Here is a 19,865-nt window from a genome sequence, read left to right on the forward strand (position 1 = left end):
CCTTCACCTCCTCCTCTGCTCAGGTCCTCCAGGCCCTCAGGGACCTGCTCATTCCTCCACACCTTTTTCTACCCTTCTCACTTTCTCTCTAGCCACTCTGTGCACTCTTACATCCCCTCCACACCTAGCACCCCCACCGCATACTCACTCTGGCTGCCTGTCACCCTGCATACCCCTCCCGCCTCTCCCTCCACCTCTCCTTCACACACCCCACACACCTGACACTTCCCTCCCCTCCTACTTTATCCTCACCCTGCCCTTTGACCCCTCACCTGCTTTGCGAACTCCTCCATCCTATCCACTCTACCTTCTATACCTGTTCACATGCCTGACACTTCCCCACTCCTGTTCACCCCTCACATCTCACACACCTCCCCCACACTTCATGTGCCCCCCTCACATCACTCTTTGGAATCCTCTCCTGCTCCTGACACTCCCGCACCCCCTACCACTCCCCTTGCACCCCTGCATGTACCACACCCCTCTCCCATCCCTAACCCTCTTCTCACCTCCTTACAGCCTTCCACCATAATTCTAGGCCAAATATCTCCTGGGGAAGAGCAGTGCTGTAGGGTCAGAATCATAGCTCAACGCCTCCTGGCTGGGTGAGCCAGGAGGTTCCCTAATTTCACTGCAACTGTTTCCTCATCTGTAAAATGGCTTTGACAACTGCTCCTGCCTCTTGGGATTGTTGTGTGGATTGAGTGGGCCAATGCTTGTAAATCCCTTTGCCTGGCACACAGAAGTGTTGATCGTGTTTATTGCCATTTAGTTGAATTGCCATTCATTGATACTTTGGGGAAAGAGGTCAGAGGTGAACTTGATAGCACAGGGCCAGAGTAACAGGATAAGAGCTAACTAGGCTGCTGGGAAAGGTAGTCAGCAACCCAGCCTGCAAGTGATGCGTTGACAAAGGTGAGTCGACAAAGGTGTGGCGCTCTCCCTCCCCACCTCCCACCCCCAGATGGACTGAACCTGAGACACTCCAAGGAGCCTGGACACCCTTTCCTCCCTAGGTTGCTGCCGGCTATTGCCACTGGAGGGCAACACACTGTCTCCCATGGACAGTGGGGTGTGGAGTGCTGGGAAGGGAGCTGCCTTCCATCACCCAACAGGCTTTTCTAGGAGCTGGAGCAGGGAAGAGGACAGGGCGCAGGCTGGGACTGGGAGGTCCCTGGAGGGCTCTCACTGGCTCCCTGCTGAGTGGGAGCGAATGGGGAGAATGTCAATGGAGGACAGAGTGCAGGAGCCAAATGGGGTCGGCAGGAGAGGTGTGGGGCTCGACTTGTTGTGGATTCCTTCCAGGGACTTCTGGTACTCAAGGCCTGTGTGGGAGTCGGGGACTGGCCTGGCCCCTCAGGAAACTGTGATCCCTGGAGACATTGGGATCCCCAGGACTGTGGGGAATGAGCTCCTTTGGCCCAGTGTGGAAGGCAGAGAGGAAGCCAAGGCAGGAGTAAGTGGAGAAGACCCTGAAGGCTGAATGAAGGGGGGACCACAGGTGAGAGACCTAGTGGCAGGACCCAGCGTAAGCAAGGGGAATCAAGAGGCTGATCTGGCTAGGACCTGGGCAGTGCAGGGGCATGTGTGGCCAGGCTCCAGCTCACTCCCCTAGGGCAGGGCCCAAAGAGCACAGCCACATGCCCTCATCCTCTAATTACATGTTGACTTATTACCCATTATTAATTAAACAGGAGCGCTGAGCTGCTCCAGGCTTCCTCCTGCCCCAGCCCCAAGTGCTGGGCACCAATCTTAGAGCCTGGGCTGAGCTGAGCCAATGATAGAAAGAAAGAGAGGTGGGAGTGTGGAGTTGTGGGGGACTGCCCCCACTGTCGGTGAAAGGGCAGTCACTGAGTGCTCACTCCGAGAAGTAGCCCTGGGTCTGGGGCCTGGAAGGAAGAGAAACGGATGGGTAGAGGAAGGGGAGCTTCCTAAGGATGGGGCAAGGGAGAGGGACGGAGAGCCCGATGGACGTGGGGAGCTGAGGAATGTGTGGAGAGTTGGCAAAGTCTGGAGGTTTGAGAGGCCAGGGGTGGGCAGGTTAGGGATGGGTGACTGCTGGACCGGGGGTGGACTATGTCTCTAGTAACTGCTGCAAGGTGCAGAGCATGTGCTTACGACCAAGGGGCTGCCTGTGAGTGAGGCTGAGCGTGTGCCTGCGGCTCTGCACTTGCGGGCTTGTTCCTCTGAAACTGGGTCTTTGTCGCCGTCTTGAACACCCAGCGCTGCGGGGGAGGGGAGGAAGCACCGGGAGATTGAATTACCTTTCAAATCTAAAGCCTGAATTCCTCCAGGCCCGGCAGGTGGGCGTGTGCACACATTCCCGAGAGCATTGTGGGATGTTGGCTGTCACTAGGGAGCCACGAGGTTTCCTTTCCACGGGCAAGGAAAAAGAGAAGCCTGTGACCCCGGAGAGGAGGAGGGAGCCAGGGAGGGAGAGAATATCTGACTTGGCCCCAGCCTGCAGCCCCTCAGACAGGACTAGGGAGGCCTTGGTTATAATCCTGACACTGCTACGATCTAGCCACACGTGACACTGGCATATGACAACCTCCCTGGTTTTCTCATCTAAAAAGAGGATAATAATAGTGATAACAGCCGGCATGAACCAGCCTTTGTGCCAGGCACTGTGCTAAGAATTTTCTTTCTTTTTCTTTTCTTTTCTTTTTTTTTTTTTTTTGAGACAGGGTCTGGTGCTGTTGCCCAGGCTGGAGTGTAGTGGCAAGATCAAGGCTCACTGCAGCCTAGACCTCCCCGACTCAAGTGATCCTCCCACCTCAGCACACCCCGTACCCCACCAGTAGCTGGGACTACAGGCACTGTGGGGTTTTGCCATGTTGCCCAGGCTGGTCTCGAACTCCTGGGCTCAAGTGGTCTGCCTGTCTCAACCTCCCAAAGTGCAGAGATTAAGGGCGTGAGCCACCACGTTCAGCCCAGGCACTTTATTTCTTTATGTCTTCATACAACCCTATAGGGTAGGTATTCTTAACCTCCCTATTTTGAAGACGAGAAACCAGGCTCAGAGAGGTTAAGTGATTTTCCTGTGTCTCACACAGCTGGTAAGTGGGAAGGCTGAGACTCTGTCTGACCCCAGAGCCTTGCCCTGAATAGCCTATGTTACCCATATATCAGGGGACAGGGGATATATGAGGAGTAAATGAGATAATGCACATAATGAAGTATTTAGAGCCGGGCATGGTGGCTCACACCTGCAATCCCAGCAACTTGGGAGGCCGAGGCAGGCAAATCATCTGAGGTTGGGAGTTCGAGACCAGCCCGACCAGCATGGAGAAACCCCGTCTCTACTAGAAATACAAAATTAACCAGGTGTGGTGGCACATGCCTATAATCCCAGCTACTTGGGAGGCTGAGGCAGGAGAATCGCTTGAACCCGGGAGGTGATGGTTGCGGTGAGGCGAGATCGCACCATTGCACTCCAGCCTGGGCAACAGGAGCCAAACTCCGTCTCAAAAAAAAAAAAAATATTTAGCCTAGTGCCTTGCACACAACGAGTGCTCAAGAAATATACTGTTAATGTTTTTATTATTTGTTCATCTGTACCGGTGCTCAGATGTTTCATTTTATGGCTGCTCAGGTGGCAGGGGGCTGAGGAGGGGATGGAGAGGCTGGTTATGGGCCTGGGAGAGGGGAAGTTAGCTGCAGGGAGGCTGTGGGGCAGGGGGCCGGTGGGCTGAGATGGGAGTAGGAGCCTGCATGCAGAAAGCAGGGGAGGGTGAGGCGAGCAGAGTGGAGGAAACAGAAGTGAGTGACTATGTATTTACTTAAAGACTTTGCTCCGGTGAGCGCCTCATTGGCCAGACATCTGGTTTCTCTGGGCATCCCCAGGGAATGGAAGTCAGACAGTATTACTTCAGTAGCTCTGATGCCATCTACCTCAGGCTGGCTTGTACTCATGGGGCTCAGGATGCTCCCCTGCAGAGTGGGGACCAAGAGCTACAGGCCTGGTCTAGAGCTCACTGGGAGGAAGTGGGAGTCCCTTCTGGCAGCCAGTTGGTCACTCTCCTCTCACCTGCTCCAAGCTAGAAGCAATGGGATTTGACCCCTGCACACACTCCTCCTCCCCCTCCTGACCTTTCCTCCTAAATATGGTGGTGGGTAATGGCCAGGAGCTGAGGAGGGCACTGAGGAAATCCTCCTCCATGCCGTTCCCCTCCGTAGTCACTTGGAGAAGAGGCCTGATGGAGAGGGGTCCACCAGGCGGCTGCCCGGGGCACTCATCTCTAAGGGGCACTAAAACTTCACTAGTCACCTAATGAGTTGGAGAAAAGAGTATCTACCAGGCACAAGCCGCTGTGGGGGTGGAGGGTGTTGGCAGGAACACTTCTATAAGCTGCTAGGTACAGAGGTGAGATCCCCAGGGGCCGACGGGCTACAATTGTTCATTAAACTCCCTTCCCTTCCGAGGGGGCGGGTCCTGGAGAACCAAAGAGTTTTGGTGAAGCTCAGTAGGGCAAGCAAGGTTAGGGCCGGCAGTGAACTGTTCAGCAGGTGGAGGAGAGGCTGAGGGCTGTGAGCAGGCCCCCTTCTCTGCACAGTCTCCGCGCAGCTTCTCTTCCAAATAAATATTGAACAAATATTGAAAGAGTGTTGGTTTGAAGAGGCACCAAATTATTAGCCTGCCCTTGGCTCTAATTTCCCAGTCCAACCCTGTTGCAAAAGTACCATAATGATGGCTTTAATGATTCCCTTCCTGTCTTGGTTCATGCCTGCATCTCATTCATTCATTTATTCATTCTCTCATTCACTCACTTAACAAAGCTTTCCAAGCACCTACTATGTGCCAGGCACTGTTCCAGGCACTAGCAATAAACAACAAACTGCTTCTTCCCTCCTACTTCTCACCACCTCCTGTGTGATTGAACCAGTAAGTGTTTAGAGTCTTGTGTGCTTAGATTGGATTGGGTGGGGGTGAATCAGAAGTCTGGAGCTCGGCTTCTGCCCCAGGAAGAAACCATTCCCTTGGGTGACAAGGAGCCATGGTAAAGGTACCATTTTTGTGCCTGTCCACAGCTTAGCCCCACCTCCCCAGCTTTTCTTGCCCTCAAGACCTGGTGTAGTCTTATAAATTCACTGTGTCCGGGAAAGGGTGTGTGTGTGTGTGTGTGTGTGTGTGTGTGTGTGTGTGTGTGTGTTTTGATATCAAGGAGGGTCTTTGCAGAGAGGCTGCATTCTCCCTAAGCATAGCTCTGAACTGGGCAGCTGGGTGTGGGGAGCTGGGTAGAGGGGAACAGCGGATGATTCTAGACTCCTCCCTCACACCTGTTGTACACCCCACCTGAGCCTCTCTGATGGGTAGCGTTGCCTACAGGAACCCAGCACCCAAACAGGAGACCAGGGGTTTCTCTCAATCACCTGGAGAGAGGACCTGCAGGAAGCCAAGAGGTAGGAGGGACCCTGGGACTTGACAGTCATATTCCCTGAGAAGTGCAACATACAAGACATCCTTAGAGCACATACTCTCTCTCGCCCACTACTACCACCCTAGGGCTCCACTCAGCTGCCTGGACTTCTGCACCTAATTCCAGTACTGAAAGGTAGGAAGAGGTCCAGTCCTGACAGGCTTGTCCCACCCATCCTACATGGCTTGAAGGGAGAGGGAGAGGAAACCCGTGAAGCCACTTTCGGGAAAGTGGGAAATCCCCTGCCCTAACCCTGGATCCTGGGCAATGGCTGCTGCCACAGAGGAAGGCTGTGAGGCAGGGGCGTATATGGGGAGAACTGGGGGCTGGGTCTTACATGCTCAGAAAGAGGGGGCCTATATCTGCACAGGCGTCCCCCCTACACTGTCTGACAGAATGAGATGCGTCCTTGCCGTCTCTATTTTTAGTCAGAACTGGAAGGAAAGGAAGTTCGAGGGCCAAGCCACCAGCCCCAGCTCCTGCTGCCAGCACCCACGCCACGTGGTGCGGGGGCGCTGGAGGAGCCCCGAGTCCCAGCTCCTCGGGGAGGCAGGCATGGCTCACCTCCCACCTGCCAGCAAGGCTTGGGCCTGATGGATCTCCAAGCAAGGGGACATGCTCTGGGTTGGGGGCTGGGGAGGAAGCGCTGCCTCCTTTCCCTGCCCAAACACAGGGCTCTGCAGTAGGTCTTGTTGGCAAAGAAGGAGAAGGGAAAGGAGGAAGACCTAGTTTGGTCTCCCAAAAATAGGACTTTGGTAGCTCTGAGGTGCTTTCTTTTGTAGGTTCTTTGAATGGAACCCTGGCTTCTTCCTTCAACATTTAAACATCTTGACCTCTATTAGCAGTGTTTGGGGCTGGCTCTTCCTCAATAGGAGGCTTGTATGAGACAAGAGCCAAGAGACTCTCCTCCACCCGTCCTTCTGTAGAGCTAGAGGAAGAGAGGGAGTTTTTCAGAGTGTTCTCACTTCCCTAGGCAAGAGAAGGACTCCTTGGCTGAAACCCCACAGCTGCTACAGTCATTACTTGTGGGTCAGAGAAAGGCCGTCCAGGTGGCAGTAGAGTATAGCGGTTAGAGCTTGGACTTCGCAGTCTGCAGACAGACCTGGGTCCAAATCCTGACTCCTCCACCAGCTAGCTGTGTGACATTGAGAAAATGGCTAAACTTCTCTGAAACTCTGTAAAATGGGGATAATTACGGTTCCTACCTCATAGGATTTCAAGGATTAATTTAGAGCATGTGAGAAAATGCACACAGTATGTGCTCGACTGTTTATGAAATTTTAAAAGCAGATTCGCTGCAGTCCCGGGTCAGAACCCCACTGTGTGGCTGATCTCTGGCCTATGTTGCAGAATCTATAGCTTTCAACAGATTCTTCAAGGGATCTAGGTACTCCAGACAGTTAAGAACCACTATTGACTAGTCTGGAAGTCAGGAGATGTGGGTGTTAGATCTTGTCTGCCTCTCACTCCTTGGGGAGGAACCAACCTCCTCAGTTTTTCTAGCTGTTCCATGAGGGAGTTAGACCAACTGAGATCTATGGACCAGGTGGGGCATTGTCAGACTCTGTGGAGTCTGATGAGCAGTGATGGAGAGAGTAACCAGAACTGGGGCTTGGAGGGCAGGTTCCAGGAAAGTGGGAGAGGGCTCCATCTCACCCTTCCCAGGAGCCAGTTTGGTCCATCAACCAACATGTCAGCCAGCCAGCAGACAGAAACTGAGCTGCATCCCTCCACCAACCCGGGAGGCTGTTGCCATGGCAACTTCATATTTATCCACTTTAGCTCCTAATTAAGGGGAAAAGCATATAACATATTGGATGTCAAGGCGGCTTTGTGAGCCTCAATTTAGCGGCCGTGCCTGGATGTCAAACTCAAGCGTGATTGCTGTTAATCACCTCCCAAATTACCAAGACAGGTCACAAAGGGAAAGGTCCCCAACAGTGGGGGCAGCTGAGCCCAGGGGAGATGAGGTGGTGGTAGGGGCAGAAAGGGAGACTTTGTTCCACAACATGACCTGGGGGTGCTGCTGGATGGATGCTGGCTCTGTGGGTGTCTGATTATGAGGTCTGTGGGAACAGTGGCTAGATCTGTTCTCACTGAGATCAGGGATCTCCACCCCAGAATCTCACAAACCAAGGCCCTTGGTCTGTAAAAATGGACTGACCAACTGATGAGCAAAGCGGCAAGTAAGGACCACGGGGTGGCCTCTGATGTCAGAAGAAAGATTGACAGATGACCAGGGCTGGTAAATTCAGGCTGACGTGGTATCTGGATGGATGAATGGATGAATGCCACATGGCAGATGGCAGATGGAAGATCCACTCAGGAGAGACTGGCTGGATGGCTGGATTCACACGTTCATCTCTCATCTCCCAAGCAAGTGCCTGGCCTCTCTACTCCTATTTGGGACCCAGGGCATTCTCAGATGCCAGTTAGGTCAGACCCTGCTGTGGTTTTTCTTGCCTGCCAGTACAGGAGCTGTGGCCCGAAGCCATGCTCCTTGGGAGAAACTTTGGCAGGTTTCTGGGGATGTGGGAGGCAGGGAGTAGAGACTGATAGAGTAAGGTTAGGAGTTGGGGGCACAGAGGGGAGGACATCAGCAGTACAGGTAAGAGCATGAGTTATGGGGTCAGGCAGGCCTAGGGTAGAGTTGCATCTTGACTATTTACAGCTGTGTGGCTTTGATCAAGTCACCTCACCTCTCTGCTTCTGTTTTCTCATCTGTCAAGCAGGCATGATGATAATTCATACCTCATAGGGCTTTGTGAGGACTTAGCAAGATGGTAAATGTAAGGCACTTGGCATGGTGCCCGGCACATGGAAAGCCTTCAAGACAGGTAGGCCTGGAAAGGAGGAGCAGGAACATGGTGACTGTGGGCTGGGCCTGGAGGGAAGTCAAGGAGCATTTTCTCCGTGTTCCCTTTCGGTCAGGACTCCAAGAGAAAGAACTCACAGAAAGGAACCTTGATGGGAGGCCAGCTGAGAGGGCATGGAAATAACTGGAACTCACTGGGCCTGTGTGGGCTATTTCTCAGCTTAAGAGAGGACCATAGGGAAGGAGGCCCTTGTACTCAAAGTCCTGCTGTCAGATCCAGAAGGGTCCTTAATGATGCCCCAACCCGGGAGATCATTAGAACTACCTGGATGATTCCATAAGCTCTACTCTCTGGGGTTACCCCAGACTCCCTGAATGAGAATCTCAGGAGTAGGGCTTGGGATATTAGTTTTGAAATCCTCCCAGGATGGTCTGATAATCAGCTGGGTCTGGGACTTACTGGTCAAAACCAGAGGCCCCTGTGCATCAGCACTGGGAAGAGCTGGCAGGAGGCGTGAACAAGCATTCTTCCAACACATCACTTTTCATATATGGTATCGGGGTTCTGCTTAAAAATTTGCATTTGAACATAAAAAAAAATCTACAGCTAAAAAGTTTGAAAAACACCAATTATGAAAATGGTAATAACAATAATTACAGCTAACATTTATTTGTTGTTTACTTTGAGCCAGGCACTATGCTAAGTGCTTCACATGGGTCATCTCTTTGAATCCTCTCAGTAGCTGCGGAGGTGGGTCGACTTGTTTATATAGAAGAGGAAACTGAGGTTCAGAGAGGTATGTCAAAGGTCACACCTTGTTAGTGGTAGATCCAGGATTCTGGGCTTCTGATTTCAGGCTGGGCCCTCTTCTTATTCTACAGTTGATGAAACGGTAGTCCCAAAGAGGTAAAGTGACTTTTCCAAGGTCACGAAGCAAGTTAGAGGCAGAGGAGGGATGAGAACCCAGGAGTTCTACCCATCCTCCTGCTCTCCAATCTCACCCTGAAGATGCATTGGGCAGAGAAAAGTTAAGGACAGACTGATCTGAGGGAAAGCATCTCAGCTCCGTCCCTCTGCTGTAGGCAGAGTCCTGGAAACAGCGGGTGGAGTGGAAGGGGCTTGGAAGTTTCCTGACTTGGAGGGACAAGGAGAAGCTTAGGACATGGTGACCATGGCCATGGCAGCCCTGCTGGCCTGGTAGGAGGAGTTGCTGTGGCCTGGTTTCCACAGATGTGGGCTGCAGCCGTTCTGTTGAATAGGAGGCTATTAAGGGAAAATGCTTTGCAAGGAGCTGAGCAGCTGGGAGAGATCATCAGAACTCTGAATGGGGAACTTTGTCCTGTCAGGCTCTGGCAGGCACTTGCTCCCTGGTCTGTCTCAAGGAGACTGGCTGGTCAAGAGGCCAAGGGGAGCTACCCCAAGAACCATTCCCTCCACTGCCTTCCTGTCCCTGGTCCCCACCCCCACCCCTGTGCTGCCCCATATCCAGGGTGGCCTGGGGGTTAAGAGCACAGGCTCTGGGGACTGACACCAGGGCCACATTCTGTAGGTGTGAAGCATGTTACTGAAACTCTCAATGTGTTAGTCTCATCATTTGCAAAACGGAACTAATAAGAGTATCTCCTTGTAATGCTGTTATGAAGATTGAGTGAGAAAATGGAGTTCATGCCTCAGTGGACTGGTTACTGTAGACATTATCTCCAGCTGAGGAATCACTCTTCCTGGTTTCTTTCCATCTCAGGCCCTCCCAGGGTGCAAATTCCTCTCCTGGGTCTCACCCTCTCTCCTTCCTTTCCCCAACAACCAGGCAGGGGCTCAGGACAGGTCTCCTTGTGGAGGCTGCGTGTGGAGAGAAGGAAAAGTATCAGCAGGACCATCCCAGCAGGGAGAGCTCCCAGGAAGGATAACAAACTCTAGCCTGCATGGTGCATCATTGCTTATGGCTCCACTTCGACTCAGGACACTCGTCACACAAAGCTTGCATGTCTTCTCCCACCCAGGCCTTTGCCGGGGCTGTTTTCCTCTGCCTGAGACACTCTTTCTCCCTTTTGCCTGGCTACCTTTGCCCAGCTAACTCCTATTTGTCCTCCAGATGTTAGCTTATACAAGCCCATCTCCAGGAAGCCATTCCTGAGACCAGGGTGTCCTCCTGTGTGCCCCTCACCCTAGCACTGATAAAGCACCCAGCCCCCTTCACTTTAGGCCATGGGTATCATGAAAGTAGGCACCTTGACCTGTTTACTTATCCCCCAGCCCATAGCACAGGGCCTGGATTAGAATAATCAATCTGTAAATATTTGTTGGATATTGAATGAGTGAATGAAGTGAATGAGTGAATGTGTGAATGGGTGAATGAAGGAATGACTGGGTTCCCTGGCCCAGGGTGGTACGGGGAAAGGAGAATGTCTGGTAGGATGAAGAGAAAGCAAAGTGGGTGCTTCCGACAAGACCGTAAACACATCAAGTTTAGGGCCTTCTCCAGGACAATGACCAAACTGACCCCCTCTTGGGACCCTGTCTTGAAGTTAGGCTACCAATGTCTGTAGCCACATCATGATCCTAAGTTAATGTTTACTGAGGACCTACTGTGTGTCAGCCACTATGCTCAGCACTCACACACACACACACACTTACTGTGTGCTACCTCACTGAATTCTTAAAGCAGCTCTTTGAGACAGGTACCATAATTATCTTCACTTTACAGAACAGAAAACTGAAGTTCAGAGAAGTCAAGATGTCTTGCCCAAGGCCCATCCAGCTAGCAAATGATAGGGCTGGAGGTACGGTTAGTGGTCAGACATGTTTGCTTGTTTTTAGAGCTATGCCTCTTAGCCACCAGACCATCTTGCCTTCCTTGTAGGATGGAGCGGAAGTCACCATTCCTCCCTCCCAGGAAGTGGAAATTGCTGGGAAAGAAAGCTGGAGAAAGTTCAGACCATTTAGTTAGCTTTTGGTGAGCAATCATGGTGCACTGGGCCCGGCAGGGAACGCAGAGTTGGCGGCCAGGCCAGCCATCCAGCTCCCCATCTAAGCAGACAGACCGACCCCAGGAAGAGGGGTGGGTGATGACAGCGGACTGGTGGGGTGCCAGCCCATGCGGTGGTGATGGCTGGTGTTCGTCACCGGGTGGCTCGAGGGTGGACGGTGGTGGGCCCAGGAATGGGGCATGGTACACAGAGCTGTTCTCGGTGGGGCTGCTTGGATGGCTGTACACGCTGGAGGCTTCACCACTCGGCGTGTGCCGAGCACAGACATGGCTCTTTGGCACTCAAGTCACTAACAGAGATGACTCCTTTTCCCATTGCCGCAGAGAACGTTTTCCTGCTTTTTAGGCTCAGCAGAGCACTCTTAACTTGCTCATTCTCACCCAACAGCTGTAGGATCCCAAGCTTTCAGAGTGTCCTTCTCTCCTGACAACTGTAAGCACCATCCTTTCAGCAGAGCACAGAGCCCCTTAGTCTGTGAGAAACCCTGGGGGCTGCTTTCCCTGATGTTGTCCACCGGGCTGGAAGCAGGCGGCCCATTAGGCTCAGGCTTTGGTCTTGTAGAAATTACCCAGCAAGGTGTGAGGAACAGCAATGATGGGGCGGCCCAGCCAAGTGCTAATTTCTTGCCATTCTTCAGGAGAAGCATGGCTTCTTAGCTCAGGCCCAGCGGCTGGTGTCACTGGGGCCGGTGGCTGGGAGCTGAACATAGCAGGAAGAGCCCAGACTCCTAGACTTAGAGCCGGGACCTTGAGCACTCAAAAAGTGGGGGGCACCACCCTGAAGTTCCCATGGCTTGGTGGCTTGGCTCAAGATGGCAGTCCTCTAACCCTCAATCAGCCTTGTCTAGGTGCCACAGGGCCAAGCCAGGGGCTAGATGTAGTGCCAGGGCAAGTGATTGGCATCAATTGCAGTTAGGAGGTAAAATTGTTGTTGGAGAAGGGGTTGGGTCAGGTGAGAAATAAGGACTGGGAAAGAAGTTGGGGGTGGATTTCCCTATGAGATGGATATTACAGTAAGAACTAGGGTTGAAGTCTGGGATGAGTGATGGATTGGTTAAGATTAGATTGGGGTTGGAAATGATATTAGGATTCTAATTGCTCTTAGAGTTTGAGTTGGAGCATTTTGGCTTGATTTTGGTATGAAGTGTGGGATTAGGGTTGAAACTGTAGTCGGATGAGGCTTGGATTTAGAGATGAGGAGTGGGTCAATAGGGTTGTGGTTGATTGTAGGTTTGCTGTTGGTATGAGGCTTGGTGTCAGAGTGAGATTACATTTGGCTCTGAGTTAGACTTGGAAGTGATTGGGAAATGATGAGAAGCAAGTTTTCTCTTCATCTACCAGGGTGTACATCTCCTGAGCAGGTGGAAAACCCAAAGGGAGAATACTGGGGCCTTCTCAAAAGTTAGCTGCCATCTACCTATCACCTGTCTCATCCATTTACCTCCACCTTCCAACCCTTACTCCCATCTCCCCTGACTTCCTTCTCTTGCTCTTGGGCAAAGCCAAGGCTCAAATGCTGTCTCCTTACTGATCGCAGCAGACATGACTGTCTGCGGCCCGTACCATACCCTTTTCCAGGCAGCTGCTTATTGCAGAGTCCTCCAGGCTGGAAAGTGGAGCTGAAAACAAGGCATTCTGGGTAGATCTCCATCAGCCGGGCCCTCATCCTAGGGGTGAGTGGGGACATGGAGTGCCCCCCCACAACTCTTTCCTGGCCCTCGCCAGGGCCCTGACCTCTCTCCTCCTTTCTGCAGAGGCCCCAGCCCCTGCATGCCTCCTCTCGCTTCTCAGGGTGACAACCTGACATCCTCCAGCACTCAGCACTGGGGTCAGGCTTTTAAAGCTGTCACTGGGGAGACTGTGGCCCCTCTCCCCCTCACTCCCCTGCCCCGTGTCCCTTCATGCAGAAACACGCATCAGGGCATGAAGCAGAGGACGTGGATGGCACTGTGATGCCTTTTAAATGCAGGCAATTAGTGGCTAAATAAAATATAGAACGAGCATCTCTGCCTGTTTCTGGCAGGGACTCACTAAAGACTGCCAGAGTTAGGGACCTTGGAAACTGATGGGGGAACAAAAGAGAGTGGGACTCCACCCAGTCCCCTGGTGTGGAGTCTCTTGCTGGGATAAAGTTGTAGAGAAGAAAGGCTTGCAGACTCAATAAACCTCTTAACCTCATTCAGGGATGTCTTAGTCTGTTTCAGCTGCTACAACAAAATATCATAAAATAGGGAGCTTGAAAACAATAAAAATTGATTTCTCACAGTTCTGGAGGCTGGAAAGTCCAAGATCAAAGTGCCAGCAGATTCGGTGTGTGGCAAGGGCCCACTTTTCCTAGACGGTGCCTTTTTGCTGTGTCTTCACATGGCAGAAGGAGTGAAGGAGCTCTCAAGGATCTATTTTATTAGGATACTAATTCCATTTACGAGGGTTCTGACTTCCTGACCTAATCCCCTTCCAAAGGCTCCACCTTGGAGGTTAGGATTTCAGTATATGAATTTGGAGGAGACGAACATTCAGTCCATTGCGGGGGAGCACAGGGGGTCTTGGGGGAGAGTCCTGCAGAATAGTAAGAAGCAGAGGATAGTGGCTTTAGAACATGACAGGCCTGGGTTTGTACTCCGGCTTTGCCACTTACCAGCTGTGTGACTTGGGCAGGTAGCTTACCCTTTCCAAGCCTCAGTTGCCTGGTCTGTAAAATGAGGTAATAGTTGTACCAATCTCTTAGCAATGTTGTTAGATTTAAATGAGGTACTAAATGCTCCATACCCCTCAAAAAAGGACCTTCCAGAAGGGAGTGAGGCTGGGGCATGAAATAGTTGGAGATATTGCTGAGAGGTCCTGGCATGGATGAGAACTCAGGCCACAGCAGCTGAGCAGACCTACTCCTGGGCCAGGGGCTCTTTCTGTGCTAAAGCCCCCTCTCAGGTGTTCCAGGAAGAAACAGGTGGTTAGAGTCTGACCATTAGAGCATGAAAGAGAAAGAACTTAGACCTAGTGATTCTGGTAGTAAGTTCCCTACTTGGTCCTCCTCCCTGGCACCCTCCTACTGGAATGCCATGCACAGATAACCACCTTGGATGACTTAATGTCCTGGAGCCTCAGTTTCCCCTGTATGCCTTTAACAAAAGCATGTATCTTGACTTCAGAGAGCCCTTAACAAACACACTAGCTGGTAACACCCTCACAGAACTCTTGCTTCTTGGTTAACCTGTTGGTCTCCCCATACTGCTCCCATGCTGAGTAGGGCCCTCTCTGGGGTGCTTCTCAGGGGATGTGGCAGGAGTCGTGAGGCAGCTCAGCAGACTGCGGGTTGGGGAATAGAAGAGGCCAGGAGCTGGGAGGCCAGTCACTTGGCTTTTGCTCCCACATGGTCCCCCATCCTGAGCTCCAGCTCAGCCCTTTTCTTTAAATAAAAGGAATGACGTCATCCTTGTGCTTAGCTGCTGAGCTAGAGGGAGGTGATCTGAGATACTGTGGAGGGGAAGCAAGAGGAGCTGGGGCTGGGGGTGGGGAAGCCATGGGACAGATGAAGGACAGATACCGAGTCCCCTCTGGGGATACCTTTGTGTGTGTGCATGTGTGTGTCTCCTGGGGTCCACCCATGTGTATGTGTTGGTGAATGGGCAAACTGCAGACTCACAAAATGTGAATGCTTAGATGAGACTTCACAGTACTGCTAGAAAAAAGGCTCATAGGTAACATGGTGGAGTCAGATCTAGACAAGGTTCTTCATGTTTCTGAGTCTCAGTTTTTGCATCTGAGGGGGTAACAATGATTTGGTCTTGCAAGCATTTTGTGAAAGGATTGGAAGAGAGAATGGCTGTAAGTACCTGTTACCTTGTAGGTTCTCAAATAAATGGTGCTATTAGGAATATGGACAGAAGCAATGCTGGGTAGCAAAAGAACACTGGCTAGCGTCAGGAGGCCTGCTCTGGGATCAGCCCAACCCTTCCTGGCCCAAGTCCTGGGCCCAGGCTCTGCCAGGTCAGGGAGTGCATGGTCCTCCCCAGTAATTTCAGTGCACCTGCCAGCAGCTCCCCTCTGAGTCCTGGGAGCTGCCTCTGCTCTCCTGCTCCAGGCACAGCCCTGGATCATCCTGCAGAAGCCCTGGGTTCTGTTTTTCCTGAGCTTCTCGGAGGCCTCTCTTCAGGGTCTGCTCAGGCTCCTGACGGCTCCTTCCCATCTGAGCTCTCGATCCTTCTCAGGGTCCCTTTTCTTCTCCCTCCCCCAGGCTCACAAATGCCTCCTCTTCCTTTTGCTCATCTCTGCTTCCTTTCTTCCGGGTTCCCTCCCTGTGAGTGTTTGCTTTTTCCCTCAGTTACTCTCCCTTTCTCTTTTCCTATTTCTGTCTCTCCTTGTCCATCTCTGATCTCTGTCTTAATTCAGCCTCCATCCCTGCCTCTCTCTCCTTCCCTGTTTCCCTGTCACGCCTTGCTCTGTCCTGTCCCTGTCTCTGATAGGAGCTCTCTCGCTGCCTCTGTCTACCAGCCCTGTGTATTTCTCCATCTCACACATGTTCTGCTCCCTAAAATGTGAGTCCCAAGCCTTGAACAAAGGCCCGAGGGGCCAGGGCCGGGCTAGCTCTCCGGCAGGGAAGGGCCCCTACCCCCACCCCCAGCCCTCTTCCTCACCCATGTGGGGTGCAGCCCTGGCTTTCTGTGCTTCCTGAGCACGGGTATGTGTGGGCCGAGGGCAGAAGGCCCAGCTTGCCTGTCATCTGGAGAGACGTGTGTGCAAAATGTTAGTTCTATGGCTCTGATTCAGCTCCGGGGCGGCTCACGGAGGGGGGGTGATGGGGACCTGGAAAAGGGAACTAGCTGGGCTGAAGTTGGAGTCCTGGGACTTTGGCAGAGGACTTGGGGATGCCTGGAGAGGACCCTGGGTGGGATAATGGAGGGGTTAGGTGGAGGTCGTAGCACCTTGGGATGCAATCAGATGGGATGAAAGTGAAGGAGGTTCAGTGAAAAGGGCCTAGAAGGGAGAAGGGGCATTTGGTGTGATGAAGGGGACACTGGCTGGAGTGATGGGACATTGCATGAGGTTTGTTCAAGGGATGGTGAATGTGGATGAAGTGGATGGGTCAGAAGGAGGTATTAAAGGAGATGAAGAAACCTGGATGTGGTGAAAGGCCACTGGGTGGGCTCCTTGGAGCTCCATCTACCTGCTCCTAGCCTGTCTCCCCGGCTGCACCTAATGGCAGGCCTCTGCTCCCAGTACTCACTTTGCTGCTTCTAGCCCTCACCTCTCAGTCCTGAGGCTTCCCCATCTCTCCTTTCCCTGTGCAGTTTTGAGTTGCCAGAGGTCCTCCCTATTTAGGACATTCCCCTTAGAGATCCTCTTATCACTGTGGTCTGGCCCTGCAGGTGGTTCTGTGTTTCAGGGTTGACCCTGTAGAACTGTCTGTCTGGTCCAGAAAGAAGAGCCCAAGTTCCCCCTTGCCCTGGTCTGGTTGATCAGCAGTTCTCACCTGAGGTTCAGAACAGCTCCTGAACCTGGGTCTGTGAGCAGGGTGTTCTGCTGGTGAGCATCAGAACAGGGATGGAGCCTTCAACAGTCATTAAGGCTGGCTGATGACTTCACAGGGAGTCCCAATAAGTGCCAGGGGCCAGTGTGTGTCCAGGCCACAGATGGCACATAGTCACCCAGAGGCCAAACTCACCTGCTGCTTCCCCTCCCCCGGACCCTGCAGCCTATGTCTGCATCCACCGGGTCCTGAAGAGAACCACTATGACCCTTTGGTTTTGGGGGAGAGGAGAGCAATTTCAAATAAACGATAACAATAATAATATAGGTAAAAGCTTTCGCTCATTGATTGCTCACTCTGCTAGGCTATGAGAAAGCTGGACATTTTAAACTCAAAATCTCCCTGACCATCTGAGGTGGACACTGTTTTTATACCCACATCACAGAGAAGAAAAAGGCTCATAAGTCCCCTTCATCACACCCAATGCCCCCTTCTCTCCTTCACAGAGAAGAAAACTGAGGCTCAACAAGGTCAAGTCACGTGCCTGGATTCATAACAGGGCCCATTTTCCTCCACAGCTTGCACTTTTAGCCCCTGCAGGCCCTAGGCAGCCCCTACAGTCAGTCTCCTCTGGTGGGACCCTGGGAGGTGTGAGTGGGGCAGGGATGGGTCCCGAACATTCCAGGAAGACGCTCATTCCAAGCTACAGCTTTGGGAGGGCTGGGTGCCTGTCGCTCCTCCCCCAAGGCATGGGACAACCTCCAGGGCACAAGAAGCACGACCAGTCCCACAGGGCCTGAAGATCCCCCCTGCCTCCATCAACACCCTCAAGAAGCTGCTAATTGTTTGCACTTGTAGCCAATGGAGGGCAGGTGACCTAAATGTAGGCCACTTTTCTGGGCTGTAGGTAGAAACCCGGGGTGAGAGTGAGGGGCTGTCCAGGGTCCATTCCTGCTTTATCAGCCTTGCCCTACAAGCTGCGGGACCCCTGCCAGCCTGTGGAAGTGCACCAAGACCCTCTCCACGTGCCTCCGTGTGGGTGCGCTGGGCTGCTGTGTTCCTGAGGCACCGGTGGGTGCGTGACGATGGCAGCTCCCACCCAGCAGAGCCGCGAACAGAAGGGGAGAGCTGCCGGCAGCTTTAAATAGCTCCTCACTGTATCTCACTTGCTGAAGTCCCATCCCCCCCTCCAATACTGGCTGTCCCAGGGAGGGGCTGTGAGCCCCAGAAATGAGGCCAAGACAGAGGGGCTCAGCCCCCAACTCAGAAACACCTACCAAGCAACACCTGCTCAGCGCTATGCCTGAGACACAGCCCACTTTTTTCCTCGGGGGCAGGAGGATCCAGGAAATCTCTTAGGGATTGTGGGTTGTCAAGAGACAGGTTTCCCTGGGCCTGCATCTTGGCTGGAAAGATGTAGCAGGCAGGTTTGTATTCAAGCCTTCCCCTAAAGGGGACACACTGGTCACCCTGCTAGCCCAGGTACGGCCCTAGCCCTTCTGACACTGAGAAGCAGCTCACTACCTGCTGCCCCCAAGAGCAGTCAGTGGCAGCCCCCTTGGTCATCAGCTCACCTCCTCACCCTGGCCCGCATCTCTATGCACAGTTCTTCCACGATCTGACCCTCCACATTCATTTCTCATCACTCTCCCCAAGCTACTTACCTCACTTGAGGTCCTTCTTGCTGTTTCTCAAACATGTCCAGCTCATTCCCACCTCAGAACCTTTGCACTTGCCGTGCCCTCTGCCTGGAATGCTCTTCTGTGGCTTCTCCCATGGTTGGAGCAAGAGCCACACTGTGATTTGTGTGGGTCCTAGGCACTTGCCTTTGTGGGTCCCTTCCTTCATGAAAATATATACAAATTATATTTTAGTACTGCATTGGTATAAGCATGGTTATGTTAAAGAAACTATTTTGGCTGGGCGCGGTGGCTCATGCCTGTAATCCTAGCACTTTGGGAGGCTGAGGCTGGCAGATTACCTGAGCTCAGGAGTTCAAGACCAGCCTGGGCAACATGGCAAAACCCCGTCTCTACTAAAAATACAAAAAATTAGCTGGGTGTGGAGGTGTGTGCCTGTAATCTTAGCTACTCGGGAAGCCAAGGCACGAGAATTGCTGGAATCTGGGAGATGGAGGTTACAGTGAGCCGAGATCACGCCATTGCACTCCAGCATGGGTGACAGAACGAGACTCTCAAAAAAAAAAAAAAAAAAGAAAGAAACTATTTTAACCTATAGTTTCTTTAACCTAAAAGTTCATTGTTTTCTTCTGATTTTAAAAGAAATTAAAATATTTTGAGGGCCCCTAAAAGTATTGTGGGCACTGTGCTACTGTCCTTAATGGAGAAGTGGGCCCTGGTTGGATCCTTCTCATAATTTAGGCCTCAGTTTAAATGTCACCTACTCCAGGGTTCCCTAACCCCCAGGCCACAGACCGGTACCACCTGAACTCTGCCTCCTGTCAGAGAATGCTTTAGATTCTCATAGGAGCGTGAACCCTATTGTGAACTGCGCATGCAAGGGGTCTAGGTTGCGTACTCCTTATGATAATCTAATGCCTAATGATCTGAGGTGGAACAGTTTCATCCTGAAACCATCACCACCACTGCGACCCCCACCCGGGGTCCATGGAAAAATTGCCTTCCATGAAACTGGTCCCTGGTGCCAAAAAGGTTGGAGACCACTGACCTACTCCAAAAGGCCTTCCTTGAAGCCTGCATTTAAAATATCTTCTGGCCGAGCATCGTGGCTCGTGCCTATAATCCCAGCACTTTGGAGGCCAAGGCAGGAAGATCACTTGAGCCCAGGAGCTCGAGATCAGCCTAGGCAACATAGTGAGACCCCATCCCTACAAAATATTCTTTAAAAAATAGCTGGACATGGTGGCTTGCTCCTGTAGTCCCAGCTACAGACTGAGGTGGGAGGATCACTTGAGCCCATGAGTTTGAGGCTGTAGTGAGCTACGATTCCCACCTCTGCACTCCAGCCCTAGTCTGGGCAACAGAGTGAGACCCTGTCTCAAAGATAAAATATATCCCATATCCACTTGCTGGCCCATTACCCCAATTTAGTTCCTTCACAGAATTTACACCATCTGACAATAACTTATTTATCTGTTTATTTGTTCCATGTCTCCTGTAACTAGAATGTAAGCTCTATGAGGGCAGGGACTTTGT

At 52.2% G+C, this 19,865-nt stretch overlaps 1 long non-coding RNA gene across 1 annotated transcript, besides 4 other annotated features; it reads right to left on the reverse strand.

Moving 5' to 3' along the window:
- Nucleotides 1–742: 742 nt before the first annotated feature.
- On the reverse strand, nucleotides 743–18,665 carry LOC124901094 (uncharacterized). The gene is made up of 2 exons (XR_007058975.1): nucleotides 18,354–18,665; nucleotides 743–13,781 (listed from the first exon to the last, which is right to left on the reverse strand). It is a non-coding gene; the product is annotated as an uncharacterized LOC124901094 (long non-coding RNA).
- Nucleotides 1,015–1,584: an enhancer, noted in NCBI's record as "H3K4me1 hESC enhancer chr5:141137138-141137707 (GRCh37/hg19 assembly coordinates)". NCBI's record gives its function as "activates a minimal SCP1, AML or CMV promoter by ChIP-STARR-seq in naive H9 embryonic stem cells {active_cell/tissue: H9 hESC(naive)}" and the evidence as "EXISTENCE:reporter gene assay evidence [ECO:0000049][PMID:30033119]".
- Nucleotides 1,585–2,153: an enhancer, noted in NCBI's record as "H3K4me1 hESC enhancer chr5:141137708-141138276 (GRCh37/hg19 assembly coordinates)". NCBI's record gives its function as "activates a minimal SCP1, AML or CMV promoter by ChIP-STARR-seq in naive H9 embryonic stem cells {active_cell/tissue: H9 hESC(naive)}" and the evidence as "EXISTENCE:reporter gene assay evidence [ECO:0000049][PMID:30033119]".
- Nucleotides 2,154–2,723: an enhancer, noted in NCBI's record as "H3K4me1 hESC enhancer chr5:141138277-141138846 (GRCh37/hg19 assembly coordinates)". NCBI's record gives its function as "activates a minimal SCP1, AML or CMV promoter by ChIP-STARR-seq in naive H9 embryonic stem cells {active_cell/tissue: H9 hESC(naive)}" and the evidence as "EXISTENCE:reporter gene assay evidence [ECO:0000049][PMID:30033119]".
- Nucleotides 5,471–5,971: an enhancer, noted in NCBI's record as "H3K4me1 hESC enhancer chr5:141141594-141142094 (GRCh37/hg19 assembly coordinates)". NCBI's record gives its function as "activates a minimal SCP1, AML or CMV promoter by ChIP-STARR-seq in primed H9 embryonic stem cells {active_cell/tissue: H9 hESC(primed)}" and the evidence as "EXISTENCE:reporter gene assay evidence [ECO:0000049][PMID:30033119]".
- Nucleotides 18,666–19,865: the final 1,200 nt, after the last annotated feature.

The sequence above is a fragment of the Homo sapiens genome, chromosome 5, assembly GCF_000001405.40.
Source record: "Homo sapiens chromosome 5, GRCh38.p14 Primary Assembly".
Lineage (NCBI taxonomy): Eukaryota > Metazoa > Chordata > Mammalia > Primates > Hominidae > Homo > Homo sapiens.